Below are 18471 nucleotides of genomic sequence, written 5' to 3'. Positions count from 1 at the left end.
GGAGCAGAGGCCTGGCCATCTTCATCGCCCTGTCCTGGACTCTGCTCTGTGGCCTGGCCTGGCCCTGCCTCTCTCCGAGCCCAAGGGCTCAGGGGGCCTGACAAGTGCAATTTTATATTGCGCCACCTGCCACAAGAACAAACGGATTCCCTCTCCCCTGTTTAACTATCAAAGCCCTTGTTTGACTTTTCCTTTTCTAGGAAGCCCCCTGTGGACAGTCCCAGCCCACAGAAACTGTGCCCTCCTCACCTCCTCAGAGCTGAAAGTGACCAGCTCCCTGTCCCCAGCCCTGCTAGCAAGTCCTCTCCACATCCATCCCAGGCCAGCCGCCTCTGTGCCTTCAGGTTCCTTTGAGTTCCCCTTTGTACAGATGGGAAGACTGAGCCCCAGACAAGATAAGTCCCATGATGAGGGAGACAGAGCTGGGCCTGAAACCCAGGCCTCCTGTGTCCTAGACAGGGCTTTCTCCCCAGCCCTTCACCCCAAGTCCCTCTCGCAGCATGGCTGCTCCTCTGTTTCTCCCCAAGTTCCTGCATAGACTCTGTGGTCAAGGCCCAGCTCTGCAAGTTATTAGCTGTGTGACCTTGGGCTACTTGCTTTAACTGTCACTTTCCTCATCTATAAAAGGAGGGGGGCAGTGTTTAGCTTGAAGGACTGGTGAGCTCAGCACTGAATATATAATGACACCTGTCACCTAGCAGGTAGACTTAAATGAAACCTCCCCTCCCTGCTGGTATCCTGCCTGGGACTCTGAGAGTATTTCCAGCACCCTTCCCACAAGCCATCAAACCAGGTCTCACCGGTTTCGGAGCAGGTCATTATTGTAGTAGCGACAGACAGCTCGACGCCCACAGCTCAGGGCCCAGTGCACACAGGTGGTGTCGATGGCGCTGCCGTGGATCACGGGGCTGGGCATCCAGGCTGAGGGAGGTGGTGCTCAGGGGACAATGAAGGCCCACCGTCCTACCCTGCCCCCTCCCTGGCATGTACAACCCCTCAGGGGCTCTGGGTTACTGGGGCCTCTTGGCTGTCTGGCCCTCAAGCCCGCCCCACCCCTGCATCCGAGGTGGCTTCCTGACGGGCTGTCTAGACTCTGCCTCTATACCCCGCTCTAGGAGAGCTGGGCCAGGTCTGTCACCCCATGAGCTTGTGAGCCCTAAGATCAGGGATTGAATTCCGCTCATGCCTGTGCCCCAGGCCTGGCACACAGTGGGCATCTGGACCCCATCACCACCACCAATGGTCCCAAGCAAGATCTTTACCCAAAATCCTCAGGAACATGAACTGGATGCCCACAGCCAAAGTCTTGTCTTCTTTCTTCACTCCTCTAACAAGCAGAGACATGGGCAACATGAGGTTGGAGGGGTTCCAGCCCCCAAGGGCCATGCATCAACGTTGAAGGGTTCTTATTATGCCCTTCTCTCCCACCACCCAGAGCCAGCCTCTCTCCCATCTGATGATCTAGGCTGGGGGCTCAGGGACGTACCCCATCCTTTTTCAACCTGCAGAGCCTGGTCCCATATACAAGACAACACACCCACTGACCATCAGGGTCCTGTGCTGACCTCTGTATGTTTCTGGTCACAGACATCACTCCTCTTCCTCCACCCACTGGTCCCATCAAATTCTCCCCTTACTCCTACAGTTGGCAAGACCTGGAGCTGGGACAGTCAGACACTTCCCCAGCATCCCCAACCACTGTAACGCCAGCTCCTGCCAGACAACACCAGTGGCTGGCATTTATGGAGCGCTTACTACGGGCTCAGTAACTCTGCCCTGCAACCCCACATCACTCCTATGAGCGAGGTGTACATTAGCCCCATTTTACAGATAAGGAGACTGACACTTAGACAGATTCAATAACTTGGCCAAGATCTCATGGCTGACAGCGGTCAGGGCCTGTATCCACGCAGCCCTGAGGCTGTGTTCTCAACTCCTTTTAGTCAGGCTGCCTGTTGGGCATCTGATTCCTCTATTTTCTCTCCCAGGCCAGCTTGTGTTCTAGATCTACATGTCTTCTGGTATTTGCAAGAGGCTCCATTTCCCTTCTAATTTCCTAGAAAGTAGATAGTGAATAAAATAATCCCAGGAGAAGGAAAATGGAAATTATCTTGCTCTGAGGTCCCTGTGATATTGTGAGATGTGTATTTGGTCTTCCCGGCATACACTCCTAAAATTCTTGGAATGTTCAAAGTGAAAAGTGTCTTTTTGTATGCTAATGAGTTGATTGATGGTGAGCAGCCCCTAGTAGCTTCAGGCTGGGGCTTGGTCACCAGAGGGACCAAGGCAGGATTAGAGGGTTAGGACTTTCAGCCCCAACCTCCAGCAAGGGGAGAGGGGCTGAAGGTTGAGGTGACTGCCAATATCCAGTGATTTAATCAATCATGCCTACATAATGAAGCTTTGGCGAGCTTCCGGATAGCTGAACACATGGAGGTCCCTGCAGGATGCAGCCAGGGAGGGCATGAAAGCTCCTCCCCCATACCTCACCGTATGCATCACTTCATCTGTATCCTTTGTAATATCTTTTATAATAAACCGATAAACATTAAGTAGATGTTTTCCTGAGCTCTGTGAGCCACTCTAGCAAATAAAGCAAACTCAAAGATGGGGCTGTGGAAACCCCAGCATACGGCTGGTCAGTCAGAATCATTGGTAAAACAGCCTGAGGCTTGTGGTTGGCATGGGAAGTGGAGGGAAAGTCTTGTGGGACTGAGCACTCAGCCTGTGGGATCTGATGCTGTCTCCAGGTAGATTGTGTCAGAATAGAATTGGGGGACACTGGCTAGGGTCCACTGCAGAATTAATTGAGTGCCTGGTGTGTGGGAAAATACCCCCACACTTCTGGTTGCAGAAGTCTTCTGTGTTGATTGTTGAGTGAGAGAATAGAAAAACTGTTTTTCTCAGCCGAGTGTGGTGGCTCATGCCTGTAATCCCAGCACTTTGGGAGGCCAAGGCAGGTGGATCACTGAGGTCAGGAGTTCGAGACCGTCCTGGCCAACATGGTGAAACCCCGTCTCTGCTAAAAATACAATTAGTTGGGTGTGGTGGCGGGTGCCTGTAATCCCAGCTACTAGGGAGGCTGAGGCAGGAGAATGGCGTGAACCCAGGAGGAGGAGGTTGCAGTGAGCCGAGATTGCGCCATTGCACTCCAGCCTGGGAGACAGAGCAAAACTGCATCTCAAAAAAAAAAAAAAAAAAAAAGGAAAAACTATTTTTTTCTCACTCAGTCCTCTTATCCCAGCCCTCACCCCAGGAGACCCTGACTTTGAACTCAGGTGACAATTTGTCAGGGCCAGCAGGCATTCTTAGGACGAGGGCCACAAAGATCTTGGCCCAAAAGGCAGTGCTCAGCATGGGTTGGGTCCACAGCGGGCACCTAATAAGCACTTGTATGTAGCCTTGAAGCAGCATTCAGAGTCATGCACCAGACTGACACAGTTTGGTTTCCTAGATGCACCTCCTGCAGCTCATCCATTGCAGGTATTATGCCCTCACCTCCAGAGGCCAGGACAGGGCCCTAGGTATGTCCTCCTCTCCCCTGGGCAAGTAGGAGCCTGGGCTGTGGGCCAGGGAACCAGTACTATTCCACCCAACACTTGCTATGTGATGGGGGCCAGCTCCTGAACTTCTCTGAGCCTCAATTTTCTTATCTGCAAGATGGGGAGAAAACCTTGCCTCAGTAGGTTGCCATGGGATGAACACAGTTAAGGCCATATTGTGGGGGCCAGGACACCCAAGTGGCCTCCTTTCTTGAACTCCGTCCTTGGAATTCCTTGTTCTGCCTGTGGTTAAGGACCTCCTGGTATCCACCTGCCCCTGCCCCACCCCCACCTTCACCTTAGGATGAGCATGAAGGAGGGTGTGTGGGTGAGACAGGCCAGGGCCGAGCCCAGGCTGACCAGGAGCAGGAAGGGCACCACCAGATGGCTGCACGTTGAGTCGCAGGATCCTGCCAGCACGGGGTTGCCCTCCACCACGCAGCTGCAGTTGGTGTAGAAAACCTGGAGTGGGAAGAGGAGGAAGAGACTTCAAGAGCCTCCAAGGGCAGGCAGCTGGCCAAGGGCTTGCAGCGGGGAAGGCTTGTGAGAGGCCCAAGTTCCACAGCCAGTTGGGGTAGAGCTGGCTGGGAGTCCGAGATCGTGACCCGTTGGCTGAGCAAAGACGGCTTGAGGAGCAGGCACCTCAAGGGCTGTCTATGTGCAAGTTGAGCCTGGGCTGAGGTGGTGGGCAGGGAGAGGGAAGCAGAGAGAAAGTAGAGAAGAAGAGGGAGGGAGCCAGGAGAGCATCATTCCCCCACATTCTACACACCAACTGTAAGAAAACATCCCCAGGCTGGCCATGTCCCCGGGCTTGCCCCCTGGAGTGTTTGATCCCAGCCTGCACTCACTCCCTAGGTAGCGAGGAAAACCTCCAGCCAAGGACTCTGCGAAGTGATCTGGACTGCCAGGGCTCACAGGCACCCGATAGAAGCCAGCCCAAGCCAAGAGGCCTGGGCTTCTCTTTGCTTTCCCATAGACCAGAGCTTCTAGACTCATGTGCCCCAGCCACACAGGGCCTCAGATGGGAGACAGGTGTGCAGGGATTAGTCCCATCAACCCTTGAAGTGGCTGGCTGGCCTGGACAGCTGGAGCCCTCTGGGCCTCTCACCTCCAGCCCTGGCAGCTGCAGACACTTCCCAGTGTGAAAAGGGTTGGGAATCCCTGAGGTGGATGCTGGGGGCCTTGGGAAAATTTTAAGCAAGGGGTAGATGAGACTGGGTGGTACAAAGGGTGTTCTGGGAGCTGCATGGAGGAGGGACCAGATCGGGGAGGCAGGCCAAGGAGCCCATCATAGAGTGGGCTTGGGGGTGGATGGATAAATGGGTTTAGATTTGAAGTTACTTAGCAGGTGGAATCAGACAAAGGCAAGAGAGAGTGAGCACGTGAGCACTTAGGGTTGGGTGACCAGGCACTCTCCACTGGCCGGCAGAACCAATGCACATGATGAAGCTGTGCTGATCCTTCACACAAGGGTCTGAAGACCCTTCACACAAGCTGTGTGACCCCTAAGTGCATATCATCTTACACTGCAGGAAAAGCGGCCCCTGAACCTCCAACTACAGGCTGGAGATACAATGGAGGGACAAGAAAGGGAAATGCTAAGCAAGGTTCCTGGGAGAGAGGCATCCTGCCCCTGCTCCTTTTCTCAGAAGCAGAGGTTGCCAGGATGAACGCAAAGGCTGGAGGCTTCACTTGGGTTTTTCCTCACCCTTCACTTGGGTTTTTCCTGACCCTTCACATTCATCTAATTCCATGGCAGGAAGTTTTTCTTATGAATGACTTCAATCTTTCTGCTGCCTCAGAGTCTCATTCCCCCAGAGCATTCAGCTCCACACCTGTTCAGGCGCCCACCTGCCCCACCTTACCTCATTCACTCATGCACTCATAAGCTGTTACTGAGCAGCTGTGCTGGGCACTGAGCCACCCATCCCTGAGCCAAGATGTTCACAATCCAAGGAGGCAGACATGTCAAGACACGATTCCAGGCCAGTGTGACAACAGTCCCTGAGTGCTGGCCCGGTCTCAGCTGCACCCTCCTCCAAATACTGCACCTAAATCCAAGCCTCCGTGATGCTCCAAAGAGGGGGCTGGCTGGGAGGCCAGGGCCTTGGTGCCTAGTCCCAGCCCTGGTATTGAGACTCTGGGCAATGTCTGGTCCTTTCCTGGGCCTCCATTTCTCATCTGTACAATGGGCGTAATAGAAATGTGTATTACTGAGTATTTAAAATTGCCTAGGCACTGTGCTATGTGCTTTCATGGATAACGTTATGTGGCGCTTTGCTTACTAGTTAATGAATTCATCCAGGTAAAGCATTTATTCAGCACATTCCTGCTCTGTAGTAGGCACTTAATAATATCTCCCCTATTTTACAGACCAAGAAACTGAGGCACTAGTTAAATAATTTGCCTAAGGTAACAGAGTCAGTTAGAGGCCTAAGAAGGATTTGAATCGGTTCCCATATCCACAGGAGTTCACTGCTCCACCTGCCAAGGCCTGGGGGTCTCTGGAAGGGCTCTCAGGCCCAGGTGGTGCCTGGCTGGCTTCTGAAGGACTATGCACCATCAACAGGTTCTTCTGCACCAGCCAGTGCAGCCCAGGTCTCTCCCTGGAGGAGCCTCAGGTTTAGATGCTGATGCCCAGCATGAGGGTGGGAGGTGGGAGGACTCTGGAGAGAGGGAGATGTTGTCATAACCACCAGCCTGATGCTGCTGCCCCCACAAATCCCCCAAGCTTCACTACAGCCTGGGGGCCTGAGAAGGCAGACATTGTCCCCCTTTGTCATTTTGGGGAACTGAGGAAAAAGGGGAGGAGGAACCGGCTGGTCTTAGCCCTCCTAAGATTCAGAATGCACTGCTGCTGATTACATTGCCTTCATTTCCCCACTGGGCCCCTTGGCTCTGAGTCCTCAGCTCCCAGAACAGGGCCTGGCACAGAGGAAGAGATCAGTGAAGTTTGTTGACTGACTGACTGACTGAATGCTCGCTAGCCTTCTGTGTCCTATCCTGTACTCTGCTCACCTGCCCCCACACTATGGCCTCAAGCGTGATCAAACACAGATCTGAACTTGTTACTCCTTGGCTGAAAACCCATCCATGGCTTCCCACTGCTCTCCAGAAAGTCCCCACTCTTGGCCTGGCATTCAAGGCCCCTCTTTTTCTGGGCCCTGCCTTCCCTTCATGAACCCTTGTGCTTCTGCTCCAACAGAAACAGTGTGTGTGCATGCTTGCGCATGTGTGTTCCTTCAAATCTCTGCTGAGCGCATTTCCCCCTGCCTGGAAAGCCCTTCCCTCCCAAGTAAATGAATAGTTTACCCATTCATTCTTGAATGTCTGGCACAAATGCCACTTCCCATGAAGGCTTCTGGGACCCAACCCCACCCAGGTGGGATGTGTCTCTTTTCATCTTTGTATGTGCTTGTAGGGACCAGTTGTTTTACCTATCAGCACCTCTGGAATTCCTGTGAGTTCTTTCCTTTTGCATCTCCCCTGCACAGAGATCTGGAAGCCAGAATGATTCACCTCTGTGCCCTGGGCCCAGGCTGGCAATGAAAGCTTTATTTTTATTTTTTGAGATGGAGTTTCACTCTTGTTGCCCAGACTGGAGTGTAATGGCATGATCTCAGCTTACTGCAACCTCCGCCTCCCGGATTCAAGTGATTCTCCTGCCTCAGCCTCCTGAGTAGCTGGGATTACAGGTGCACACCACCACGCCTGGCTAATTTTTTGTATTTTTAGTAGAGATGGGTTTCACCAGTCTGGAACTCCTGACCTCAAGTCATTTGCCTGCCTCGGCCTCCCAAAGTGTTGGGATTACAGGCATAAGCCACTGCTCCTGGCCAGTGAAAGCTTATTGTGAGAATAATGTTCTACATCTGCCAACAGAGAGAGACAGAGAGACGAGAGCTACAGAGTGAGAGCATGCAGAAGTGGAGAGTATGACAGGCCCACAGAGACAGGGCAGGCAGAGTCCTGAGGGGCAGAGGTTGCCACGAGAGGCCTGACTCACCTGGCTGTTGTCCAGAGCATCCTGGACCACCCAGCTTGAGCAGCCTGCGTGGCAGGGTGTGATGTATTCCACACGAGTGCTGGGGTCGCAGACAGGGTTAAAGCCGTCCAATGGGCAGGAGCAGGCCTCCATGCAGCTTGGAGACAGCTCCAGCCCAGGGTGGGCACTGGTGGGAGAGAAGACCAGTAGGGTTGGCCTGGCTTCCCTCCCTTAGGCCACTAGCTGGGGCATCCTCGGCCCTGTAGCCGAGAGCAATGGCCAGAGATTTCAGCTCCACACAGAGGATTTTCATCATCAGGGCTGCCCGATGATGGCGTGATAGTGAGCTCCTTGCAATGAAGGTGGGCAAGTATGGAGACAGGCCCCCTCAATCCTACAAGCCTTTGAGCTTCTTCAAACATCTCTGCACCTCAGTGACCCTTCTACAGGGTATACAAGATAAATTCCTCCCAGAAGTTAGTGTCAGATGAGGAGTATCTTTCCCTCAATCAGCTTCCTTTCTCCGAAAATCAATGATTGCTTCATTTCTCAGAAAATCAGAGCTATGAGTGTGGGACCCGATCAGGAGACCTGACCACCCGTGGGATCTCCAGCCTGTTCCTGCCTCTCTGGGCCTCAGTTTCTCTGCCTGTCATGGCCATCCTGCAGTCTCACTCCCACCACCCTGTTCACTGTGTCCAGGGCACATTTTAGTCCCACTTGCCTCCCTCCAAGGGCCTGTTCCCAAATCCCTGGGGTGCCCCAGCTCCAGGTGGCCAGGGCAAGGTGAAGGTGGGCAGGGGCAGGATGTCAGAGGGAGGCTTAGTCTGAGGGGGAGGTCACCCTGGGAGGAGGGCAGGGAGGTGTCCCCTGGGACTCACAGTGTCACCTGGCTTCACGCTAGCGGGGAGCACAGCTAACCTGCCAGGGAGACAGAGGCCCAGAGAGGCTGCGCCTTTCAGGGTCACACAGGGGTCCAGTGGCCAGGCTGCAGAGGAGGCCAAAGGCGGAAGCTGGATGTCCCTGTCTTGGGCTTGGGGTGGGTGTGGGGCAGAGGCCCAGGATGATCAGTGAGGCTGGGACTGGAGCTTAGTGAAATGTCAGTTCCATGGGGAAGAGGGTGAGCAGGAGCTGGAGACAGTCTCTAGCCAGGGTGTGGAGTGGGGAAGTGGGGCATGGGGCAAAGTGAGCTCCTCTCCCTCCCTGGGGTGAGGGGGCACTCTATCAGAGAGGGAAGGAAGATCATCAGCCACAAAATATTTCCTCTTCCTCCTCTGCCAGACAGTGCTTGTGTGTGTCTGACAACATCTTGGCACATCTCCCTCGGGGTGGGGGTGGGAGTGGGAAGGCTGGCACTGTCTGAGCTGAGGGCCCATCAGGAGGCAGTGCCAGGGGACTCTGCCAAGGGTGAAGCACTTCCCAGAACCCTCTGCTAGCAGCTGGAAAGCTGAGCAGATAAGAGCTAGGGAGTCCTTCCTCCGCTCCTCGCTGTCATTGACCACCTGGAGCTGATTGCTTCTGTGGGGAGAGTCCTGGCTCCAGGCTCTACCCTGTTCCAGCTGTGGGGTGACTTCACCTCTCTGAGCCTTGCTGTATTCATCTGTGAAATGGGGCTAATAACAGGACCCATTACAGAGATCCTGTGGGGGTTCAGTGAGAGGTAACGTGGGAAGACGCTGAGCGAAGGGAGACCGTCGGTTCTTGCAGCTGTTAGTACCTGCGGTTGTGCAGAAATATGGAAAGTTCTTCTTGCCTAGCTCAGTTGGTCCCAAATGGTCTCTTCAGTGAATTAGAACCCAGAGCTTAGTGAATAAATCGCAAGAATTTAGACGAGAACAGAGGTGACATGAGATGTCAAAGCTAAGGTGTGAAAGGGAGAAGAAAAGAGAGATGGGGTGTGTGAGATGAGCTGACTTTTTCTGCACTATTTAAAAAATTGTGATAAAATATCCATTTACTTTTTACTCTAAAAATCATTTGATTGAGGACCTGGCTCCCTCCTCAGACCAGGGACTTCCTGAGGAGGTGGCTAAACCCCCGCTGCAGTGCCTAGAACAAGGCTCCGCACACAGGAGGCCCCAGGCTAGAGAGCAGAGTTGCCTCCCTATGTGGGAAAAGAGGGGCAGAGAATGAAAGGGGGAGGAGGGAGGGGAGATGGGGGAGAGATCAGCGAGGGTGGGACCTGGGACAGACGGGGAGGGGCTGGGTGCTCCTTGGCCCTGAGCTGAGCCCCCGACAGCCATGCAGGAGGACCCCTGGTGATGAAAGCTGGCACCTAGGTGGAGGCAGAAGATGCCAAGGAAGGGGTGGGTACAGAGAAAGTTGGGAAATTCTAGCCGAGTGTTGGGCCAACCTAAGCCTGGAGCAGTTTCCAGGAAAAATGAAATCATTCTGGAGAAGAGGCAGGAATGTGACTTCCAACATCCTCTCCAAGAAGGCTCCCAAGGGTAAAGGTGTGAGGGAGAATTGGAGAGATAGAAATCAAGAGACTTCCTCCCGGAGGGCAGAGGCAGGTGCTGCCTCACAGATGTGGAAAAAGAATTCTGTAATTTTAGAGTCGTGGAATATCAGAATTTTAGCTCCCAAGCTCTAAAACCCAAAATTATCAGAGGTCTGCTGTCCAATCTTTTCCCAGTGCCTGAGTCCCCTCTGCAGCCTCCCTGATAGGGGCCATCCAGTCCCTTGCTCACCCTCTCATCCCCTCTCGTCCCCAGGATGGAGAGCATGCTTCCTCCTGGGCAGGCCATTCCTCTGGCTGAGCTGGGTCCTGGCTCCTGTGATGTAGCCTCTGGCTCATCTCTGTTGGGCCCACAGGGCTTGGTCACCCTGGACATGCCATCCCATGGGTGGCTCTGCCCTATCTCAGCCTCCACACCCTCCTGGGCTTGAGAGTTTCTGCCCCTGAAGTCTCATCCATGCCCCTTCCAGTGGTGCCTGACACCTACCCTGGAGCCTTCTGGAGCACCCCACTGCTTGACTCGAATCTCTAAAGGGCTGTTAAGCAGAACTGGGGAGGCAAGATTTGAGGCAGGGGTTGCCCTGCCATCCTGGCCTCTGCCCAGGGCCCCTGTCCTCCCTGTCCTGTCCTCCCAGGCTTGCCTTTACGTGCCCACGCACACACTCACCTGGTCTGGTGTGTGATGCCCGCAATCTGGTGGCTGGAGCAGCCGATAAAGAAGAGCGGCAGGCTGAAGAAGAGGCACAGCAGCATCCCCAGCAGGCAAAGGGCACCGCATCCCACAGGGCCCAGGTGGAGCCGCTTGACCAGGACGCCACCCACCACGATGCCCACGATGACCGAAGGGAAGGAGAGGCAGCCGATGAGCAGGTTGGCGTAGGAGGCTGTGATGGAAAACTGGCGCTCCAGGAACTTGGGCAGGAAGGTGGCCATGCCCGCAGCCATGGATGACAAGCATACCTGGGACAGGACCACCAGCAGGAAGATGGGGTGGCGTAGGGTCTGCAGCAGCACCCTGGGGAAGACTGTGGGGGCGAGTGCAGAGGTCAGGGCAGGCAGGGCAGCCAAGCTGTCCAGCAGAGACTGCCCTCCTGCCCTGCTCAGTTCAAGCAGTTCCATTTCTTCTAACCCGCCCCATTCCACTTAATTCTATTGCAATCAATTTTATCCCACTTGACTCCATTCCATTTACTCTAGTCCCTTTTTTTTTCTCTCTCTGTCGCCCAGGCTGGGGTGCAGTGGCGCAATCTCAGCTCACTGCAACCTCTGCCTCCTGGGTTCAAGTGATTCTCGGCCTCAGCCTCCCGAGTAGCTGAAACTACAGGTGTGCACCACCATGCTGGCTAATTTTTGTGTTTTTAGTAGAGATGGGTTTTGCCTTGTTGGCTAAGCTGCTCTCGAACCCTAGGCCCCAAGTAATCCACCCTCCTTGGCCTCCCAAAGTGCTAGGATTACAGACGTGAGCCACTATGCCTGGCCCTTGTTCCAGTTCATTTTTGAAATTCTGTTTCATTTTGTTCCACTGAGTTAGACTATATCTTATTTGATGTGTTTTTTTCTTCCATTCAATTCTATTCAGTTCCATATAGTTCTGGTTCATGCCATCCTATTTGATTCAATTTCGTCCATCCCATCCCATGTCATTTCATTTTTTCTACTCTACGTATTCATTCCTCTCCCCCGCCCCACCCAGTTCTTTCCATCCTGTCCTGCTACAGCTTTTTCCAAGCCTCCCAGGCCTTCATCCTCCTTCGCATCCCAAACACAGGCCCCAATCCTCTGCCCTGACCTCCCTATCCTTAGCTTGCATTTCTCCATAGCCCTCTACCTAACGTACTATACCTCTCACTCATCTAGCTGTTTTATTGTCACCCTACCAGAACGTAAGCCTTCTTTAAAAGATCAGGGGGTTTTGTTTGTTGTGTTAATTACTAAATCTCCAGAGCCTGGGATATAGGAGGCACCTGAATTCATGGAATGAAGGAAGGAATGAATGGATATATGGACTAATATGTGATCAAATGTCAATATGTCTGGGGCAGAATCAAAGACCTCCAGAGAAAGTGAAATCTGAGTCTGCTTGGTGCTGGGAGACTTCCTGGAGGTGGGACAGAGCTAGGGCCTAAAGAATGGTGGGGGGGATCTGGGGAGGTAAAGCGAGGAGGAAAAGGAATTGAGTAGGGGCCCAGGAGGGGCAAATGCTTGGAGTTAGGAAAAAAAGTGACTGTTTTGGCAAAAAATTACCTCCCCAGTCTCCTGCTAGCTCCTAAAATGGTGCCTCATTCACAGGTTGCCCCCACTGCAAGTCTGCTAAACCAAAGGGCACAAAAGGGTGGGTAAGTCCTTTCCTCTCTGGGCTCCAGCAGCCAAGTGATGCTCATTGGTAGGGGCAGCCCAGGTGAAAGTGTCAAGGACATTTTCTGTTAGACACATGAAATCCTCTCTCCACTAACCTGTGTTTCTGCCTGCAGTAGGCAAGACTGAAGTCAAATATAAGGTATGGAGGGAGAGGAGCAAAACACTTGCCCGGCTGGGCTGGTAGGGCCATGGGGATTCTCTGGGCCAGGTGGGGGCTCCTTCTGTTCCTGCAGCAGCAGGACCAGGGCCTCTGTCATGGGAAGATTTCTGTCTGTCCTCAGAGCAGGGCCAAGCCAGCTGGTTCCCTAGCCCCCTGGGCCAGGCTAGGATCTGTTTCCTTGGGAACCAGAAAATAAAAACAAACAGTTCAGGACGGTGGGTGGGGGCTGTGGAATTCCCCCTCTTTTCTGTGCCAGGCCTGCCTCCTGTCCCTGGTTCCTTGCTGCACACCATGCATTTAACTAGCATTAGAGTGAAGAGGTATGAGGCTCGCTCTGACCCCAGGTAGCTGCTCAGCCTTCTTGCCATAAGCTGCTCTGGCCAGGGCATCTGAGGCCTTATATTGAGCCATGAATTTCAATCTGGCATGGTCCAGGTTGTACAGGTGCCCCTACTGCATGGTAGAGTCTAGAGAGGGACAGGGGCTCGCCCAAGTTCATCCAGAGGCCAGTTTAAGGCCAGGAGTTTCCTAGGGTCTCCTGGCTCCTAGTACAAGGTCCATCCTCCCTTCTATCCTCCCTCCCCCATCCTGTGCCTCTCTGGCTGCCTGACTCCAAAGGGCTCCATCTCATGGATTGCTTCCAGTCCATTCTCCTGCACTGATCACTGCAGTGTGCTTTGTAGCCATCCCCCATCTCTCCTCAGCATCCACAGCATGGCACCGGAATAGATGGAAAATTCCTGGAGGGCAGAGGCTATGCCTTTCACTGAGATAGGTCTACCTGCAGGGGAATTCCAGGGCCCATCTCCAGCTCTGAGGCAGACCTTTGCCATGAGACAGGGCTTCCCTTAGCACAGCACAGTGTCTCCCCCATCAGACAAGCCAGGGCCTCCCTCAAGTCAGTGACTCTGTCTTCCTCATCAGCCAGGAGCCTCACCCAGCTAGAGGCCAGGTATCCTCTGTCAAATAGAACAGGTTCTCCCTCAGTCTAGGGACTATGCTTCTTCCAATTAGGTAGGGGCTTCCCTTAACTCAAGGGCAATGTCTCCCCCAGGAACCTCCTCTAGTTCAAGGACTACGTCTCCCTTATCAGACAGGGGCCTTCTCCATCACAGAGGTCAGGTCTCTTCCATCAGACAAGGCAGGGTCTCGCTCCATTCAGGGACTACGTAACCTCCATCAGAGAGATTGTATCTCTCACATTAGACAGGGGCTTCCCCCAGCTCAGAGACTGTCTCCCCCATCTGACAGGGGCCTTTCCTAGCTCAGGGATTATCTTTCCCCAAGAGTATAGGGCACCTCCAGCTGAAGGACCATGGTTCCTCCTCCCTCGGCCTTCCCTGTGACACCAGGTGGTCAAGGCCAGGCCCTAGAGTTAGACTGGCCCCTGGAGCTCAGCAGAAGCCAGGCTGGCTCACCAGCCACAGGGCCTGAGGGCACCCCTGCCCTGATTCCCTCCAGGCTCATGTAGAAGCTGAAACCACCAGAGACAATCTGGCCTAGAACACTTGCTCTAGGTTCCAATTTCAGAAGCTTCCCTCCGGGCAGAAGCCCAAACAGTGATTAATAAGCAATTCAGCAGCGCAGAGTGCCGGGGACCTAATAGCATCTGGGGGTGGCCTGAGGCTAGGGAGTCCCGGCCGCTGCGTCTAGGCCCAGCACCATGCATGGAGTCCAAGCCCTCTCTTTCCCTGGGAATGCTGAAAAAACTGGGGGCTAGATTACTGATATCCCAACATCAAGTCTTTTTTTTTTTTTTTTTCCAGACAGGGTTTCTCTCAGTCACCCAGGCTGGAGCGCAGCGGCCAGATCACAGCTCATTGCAGCCTCAAACTCCCAGGTTCAAGCAATCCTCCCACCTCAGCCTCCCCAGTAGCTTGGACCACAGGCATGCACCACCAAGCCCGGCTAATTCTTTCTTTATTTTTTATTTTTATTTTTTTAGAGGCAGGGTCTCCTTATGTTGTCCTGGTTGGTCTCAAACTCCTGGGCTCAAGAGGTCCTCCTGCCTTGGTCCCCCAAAGTGCTGGGATTACAGGTGTGAGCCACCATGTCCTGCCCCAACATCAAATCTTAGGAAGCTCTTCCCAAGAATAGGCCTAATTCCTTCCTGTTGCAGAAATCCTCAGTAAGGACTATGAGGCAACTCCTGTGGACATGCCCTCCTAAACCACAGGCAGCTCAATTTACTATCCTAGGGCATGGTCAGAATAACGGTGGAACAAGAGTAATAATTGAAATAATTGTACCTTATATATAAGTACAGTTTTTTTTAATAGCATAAAGAGGCTTTCCATGTTTCGTCTCATTTGATTCTCGTAATAGCCCTTGAGACAGGCAGAGCAAGGATTATTGACCCAATCTTCCAGATGAGGAAACTCAATTTAGAAAAGGAAACTAACTTCTTTAAGATTATACACTGGTCACTGTTAGGGGCAGGGCTCAAATCCAAGTCTTCTGACCTGCCATCCAGTGCTCTGTAAGAGCTGGGCACACGGCAGGCACTCAATCAATGCTCCTGGGGTCATAATCTTGAGAAAGAATGGCCTGGTCATAATGTGTACTCTGGTTACTGATAGACTGAGTTCGTAGTCTCAGGATCATAGCCTCAAGACGTTAGATCATTGAGTCTACTCCTGGCTATATAGATGGGGAAACGGAGGCCCAGAAAGGAGCAGGGATCAGGGACAAAAGCCCAGGTTCTGGATATTAGCCCAGAGCTCTCTTCGCCCATGCCACTGTCTGGAAATTTGACAATTTCCCGATGGCCTCCCATTTGCAGGCTCAGCAGTGGGTGGGAGGAGAGGAAGGGTCATAGATGAGCCAGCACAGGCCTGACCTTCAGGAACACAGGCTCAGATCTGAACTGATCTAGAAGCCCTGAGGGTTCTGAGAACCAAAGAGGGAAGGAAGTGGCTTTGCTGGCTGGAAGAGCTGGACATGTGGGGAAAGTAGTGGGTTTTTAGCTGGACCTAGACGGATAGGGAAGGTTTTTTGTTGTTGTTTTTGAAATGAAGTCTCTGTCTGCTGGAGTGCAGTGGTGTGATCTTGGCTCACTGCAACCTCTGCCTCCCAGGTTCAAGTGATTCTTCTGCCTCAGCCTCCCAAGCAGCTGAGACTACAGGTGCCCACCATCATGCCCAGCTAATTTTTGTATTTTTAGTAGAGACAGGGTTTAACCATGTTGGCCAGTCTGGTCTCAAACTTCTGACCTCAAGTGATCCGTCCACCTCGGCCTCCCAAAGTGCTGGGATTACAGGCATGAGCCGCAATGCCTGGCCCATAGGGAAGGTTTTGAAAGCAATAAAAAATGATGGTCCAGGCAGAGAGGATTGCATGTGCAAAGACTCACAAGGAGTAGATGGTGCTCATGAGGGGTCTGCAGGTAGAGAAGATGAATCAAGAAAAGCAGGAAGGACTGGATCCTGACAATCTCGAAGACCCCTCTGGCCCTGGCTCCCCATAACCTGGTCTGAGCTGACTTACCTTTAATGAACTGGATCACAGTCAGGTTTGGTGCAATCTGGACTAGGCCATCCTGCTTCTTCGTGGACTCCCCAGGGCTCTGCTTAGAGGGAGAGTCCTTGCCCTGAAGGAGACACAAAACCAAGGACAGTCCGCTGGATGCCAGCAACCCCACTCAGAGTTGGCTGTGGGCTGGGGAGGAGAGGTCTTGGAGAGGAGAGGGTGAGAGCCCTGTCATCTCTTCAGGAGCAATTGAGGCCTGCAGTGTTCCATTTGTTCTTGGCCCTATAGGTACCCAACAAGTGGTTTTGAAAGGATGAATAAAATTCTTGTGGTTAAACTTTGTCATCACCAGTATCCACATGGGTTAGTTGTCATGACCACTATTAACATCATAATAATCACCAACATTTTTAGGAAAATCACCACCATAATCATCATCATCATTTCTATTCCTTTCAGCTTAAATATCACCCTCATTCACATCACCCATATCGTTGTGACTAAATGACAAATTTAGTCACGACATTACCATCACGATGTGATGATTGTTATTGTTGTCTCTGTCATGATCACCACCACCAGCACAATCATCATTATCACTGTCACCTGAACCTTCAGAATCACTACCACCATGATGATGATCAGAATCATCAATATCATTATCACTGTCTCTAACATCATCATCACTACCACTGTCTTCACCAAGATCAGTATCACCAGCCTCATCTCCATCGCCACTGCCATCATCACCACCAATGTTACCCAAAACACCAACACACCAATCCAGTCAATCTTCACTCCCACTGTCACTGCTCCTCTTGGATGAATCAGGCCGCACCCAGAGGATGGGCTCAGCTTTGGGTCCAAGCTGTGAAGATTCCCATGGACACCCTGGAGTATGTCCCTCCACCTGGGTGGGAACGGCCCATGTGCAACTCTTGAAAAAGAGGGGAAGAGAATATCATGTGTGTGGAGGGAGGGGGCACAATCACCATCTTCTGACTGTCAGAAATAAGAAAGGAAATAATGATAAATAACGGTTAATGCCTACTAAGCACTTACTGTATGCTGGGCACTGTTCTAATGACTAATGCATAACTTACCGAAACCTCACAACCTCCTGAAGTATATACGTCCCTACCAACAACTTGGAGAAGGAAATAAGAGTCAAAAATCATTTTTTAAATAATGAAGTAGATACCATAATAATCCCTTTTTGTCAGGTGATAAAACTGAGACACAGAGAGAAAATAACTTATTTCAACTTATTTCACACAGATAATAAGTGGTCCAGCTAGGATTTGAATCCAGACGGCTTGGCTCCAGAGCCTGAGCACTTCACTGGTACACCCTGAAGGAAGGGGGCAACCAAGGCCAAGGCCCCAGAGTACTCTACCTACATTTCTCTAACACAAAACTGTGTGAGGCAGGTACTATTACCGTGCACACTTTTTAGATGAGGAAACAAAATCTTGGAGAAGTTGCTATGGGCACAGGGTCATCTGAATACAAGTGGGCAAGTGGAGTGTAATTTAGTTATTTTGCTATGTAGGCTGAGGTCAGAATTAAAAGCAAAAAATTAGCTGGAAGAAGACTTATGCCTAGGCCGGGTGTGATGGTTCGCGGCTGTAGTTCCAGCACTTTGGGAGCCTGAGGTGGGAGGATCGCTTGAGCCCAGGAGTTCAAGACCAGCCTGGGCAACATGGCGAAACCTTGTCTCTACTAAAAATAAAAATAAAAAAAAAATCAGTCGGGCGTGGCGGCTCACACCTGTAATCTCAGCACTTTGGGAGGGTGAGGCCAGTGGATCACCTGAGGTCAGGAGTTCAAGACCAGCCTGGCCAACATGACTAAACCCTGTCTCTACTAAAAATACAAAAATTAGCCAGGCATGGTGGCTCATGCCTGTAATCCCAGCTACTAGGGGGGCTGAGGCAGGAAGATCGCTTGAACCTGGGAGGCGGAGGTTGTAGTGAGCTGAGATCGTACCACTGCACTCCAGCCTGGGCAACAGAGCGAGACTCCCTCTCAAAAAAAAAAAAAATCAGCCAGGTGTGGTGGCACACACCAGTAGTCCCAGCTACACAAGAGGCTGAGGAGGGAGGATCATCTGAGCCAGGGAGATGGAGATTTTGTCAGAGGCGTTAGAATCAGAACAACTCCATCTTGACTGAGGGGTAGGAAAATGAGGCTGGGACTTGCTGGGCTGCATTCCCAGAAAGTCAGGCATTCTTAGCCTCTAGATGTTTATGGTTAAGGGAACAGATTGATCATGTTTACTAAAGAGACCCAGACTTAGGAGTGTCCTGATAGCCCCATGTCTGGAGAACAGAAGCATTTCTAATTTTGCTTTAAATATAATAATATCGATTCTTGCAAAATATAGTGATTAAGAAAATCGTTGATCACAAACCCTTGTAGCAGAGCACATCTCCCCATGATCTTTTTTCATCCTATATATAAACATGTATTGTAGCTAGGGTGGACGCGTTCCTCCTCT

The 18471-nt window shown here is 52.1% G+C and overlaps 1 protein-coding gene across 6 annotated transcripts in view, besides 2 other annotated features; it reads right to left on the bottom strand.

Annotated features, from left to right (window-relative positions):
* SLCO2B1 (solute carrier organic anion transporter family member 2B1) overlaps nucleotides 1-18471 on the bottom strand; it is a 55443-nt gene that overhangs the window by 2322 nt on the left and 34650 nt on the right. For all 6 annotated transcript variants that reach the window (NM_007256.5, NM_001145212.3, XM_017017157.2 and 3 more), the window contains 6 exons: nucleotides 15990-16092; nucleotides 10653-11010; nucleotides 7549-7714; nucleotides 3841-4004; nucleotides 1263-1327; nucleotides 801-921 (listed from right to left, as the gene is read on the bottom strand). In NM_007256.5, the coding sequence (NP_009187.1) occupies nucleotides 801-921; nucleotides 1263-1327; nucleotides 3841-4004; nucleotides 7549-7714; nucleotides 10653-11010; nucleotides 15990-16092 (977 nt within the window). The remainder of the gene's footprint in view (nucleotides 1-800; nucleotides 922-1262; nucleotides 1328-3840; nucleotides 4005-7548; nucleotides 7715-10652; nucleotides 11011-15989; nucleotides 16093-18471) is intronic.
* Nucleotides 402-1268: an enhancer, noted in NCBI's record as "H3K27ac-H3K4me1 hESC enhancer chr11:74914005-74914871 (GRCh37/hg19 assembly coordinates)". NCBI's record gives its function as "activates a minimal SCP1, AML or CMV promoter by ChIP-STARR-seq in naive H9 embryonic stem cells {active_cell/tissue: H9 hESC(naive)}" and the evidence as "EXISTENCE:reporter gene assay evidence [ECO:0000049][PMID:30033119]".
* Nucleotides 2675-3176: an enhancer, noted in NCBI's record as "H3K27ac hESC enhancer chr11:74912097-74912598 (GRCh37/hg19 assembly coordinates)". NCBI's record gives its function as "activates a minimal SCP1, AML or CMV promoter by ChIP-STARR-seq in naive H9 embryonic stem cells {active_cell/tissue: H9 hESC(naive)}" and the evidence as "EXISTENCE:reporter gene assay evidence [ECO:0000049][PMID:30033119]".

The sequence above is a fragment of the Homo sapiens genome, chromosome 11 (genome assembly GCF_000001405.40).
Source record: "Homo sapiens chromosome 11, GRCh38.p14 Primary Assembly".
Lineage (NCBI taxonomy): Eukaryota > Metazoa > Chordata > Mammalia > Primates > Hominidae > Homo > Homo sapiens.
This window is presented reverse-complemented; position numbering and strand designations above follow the sequence as displayed.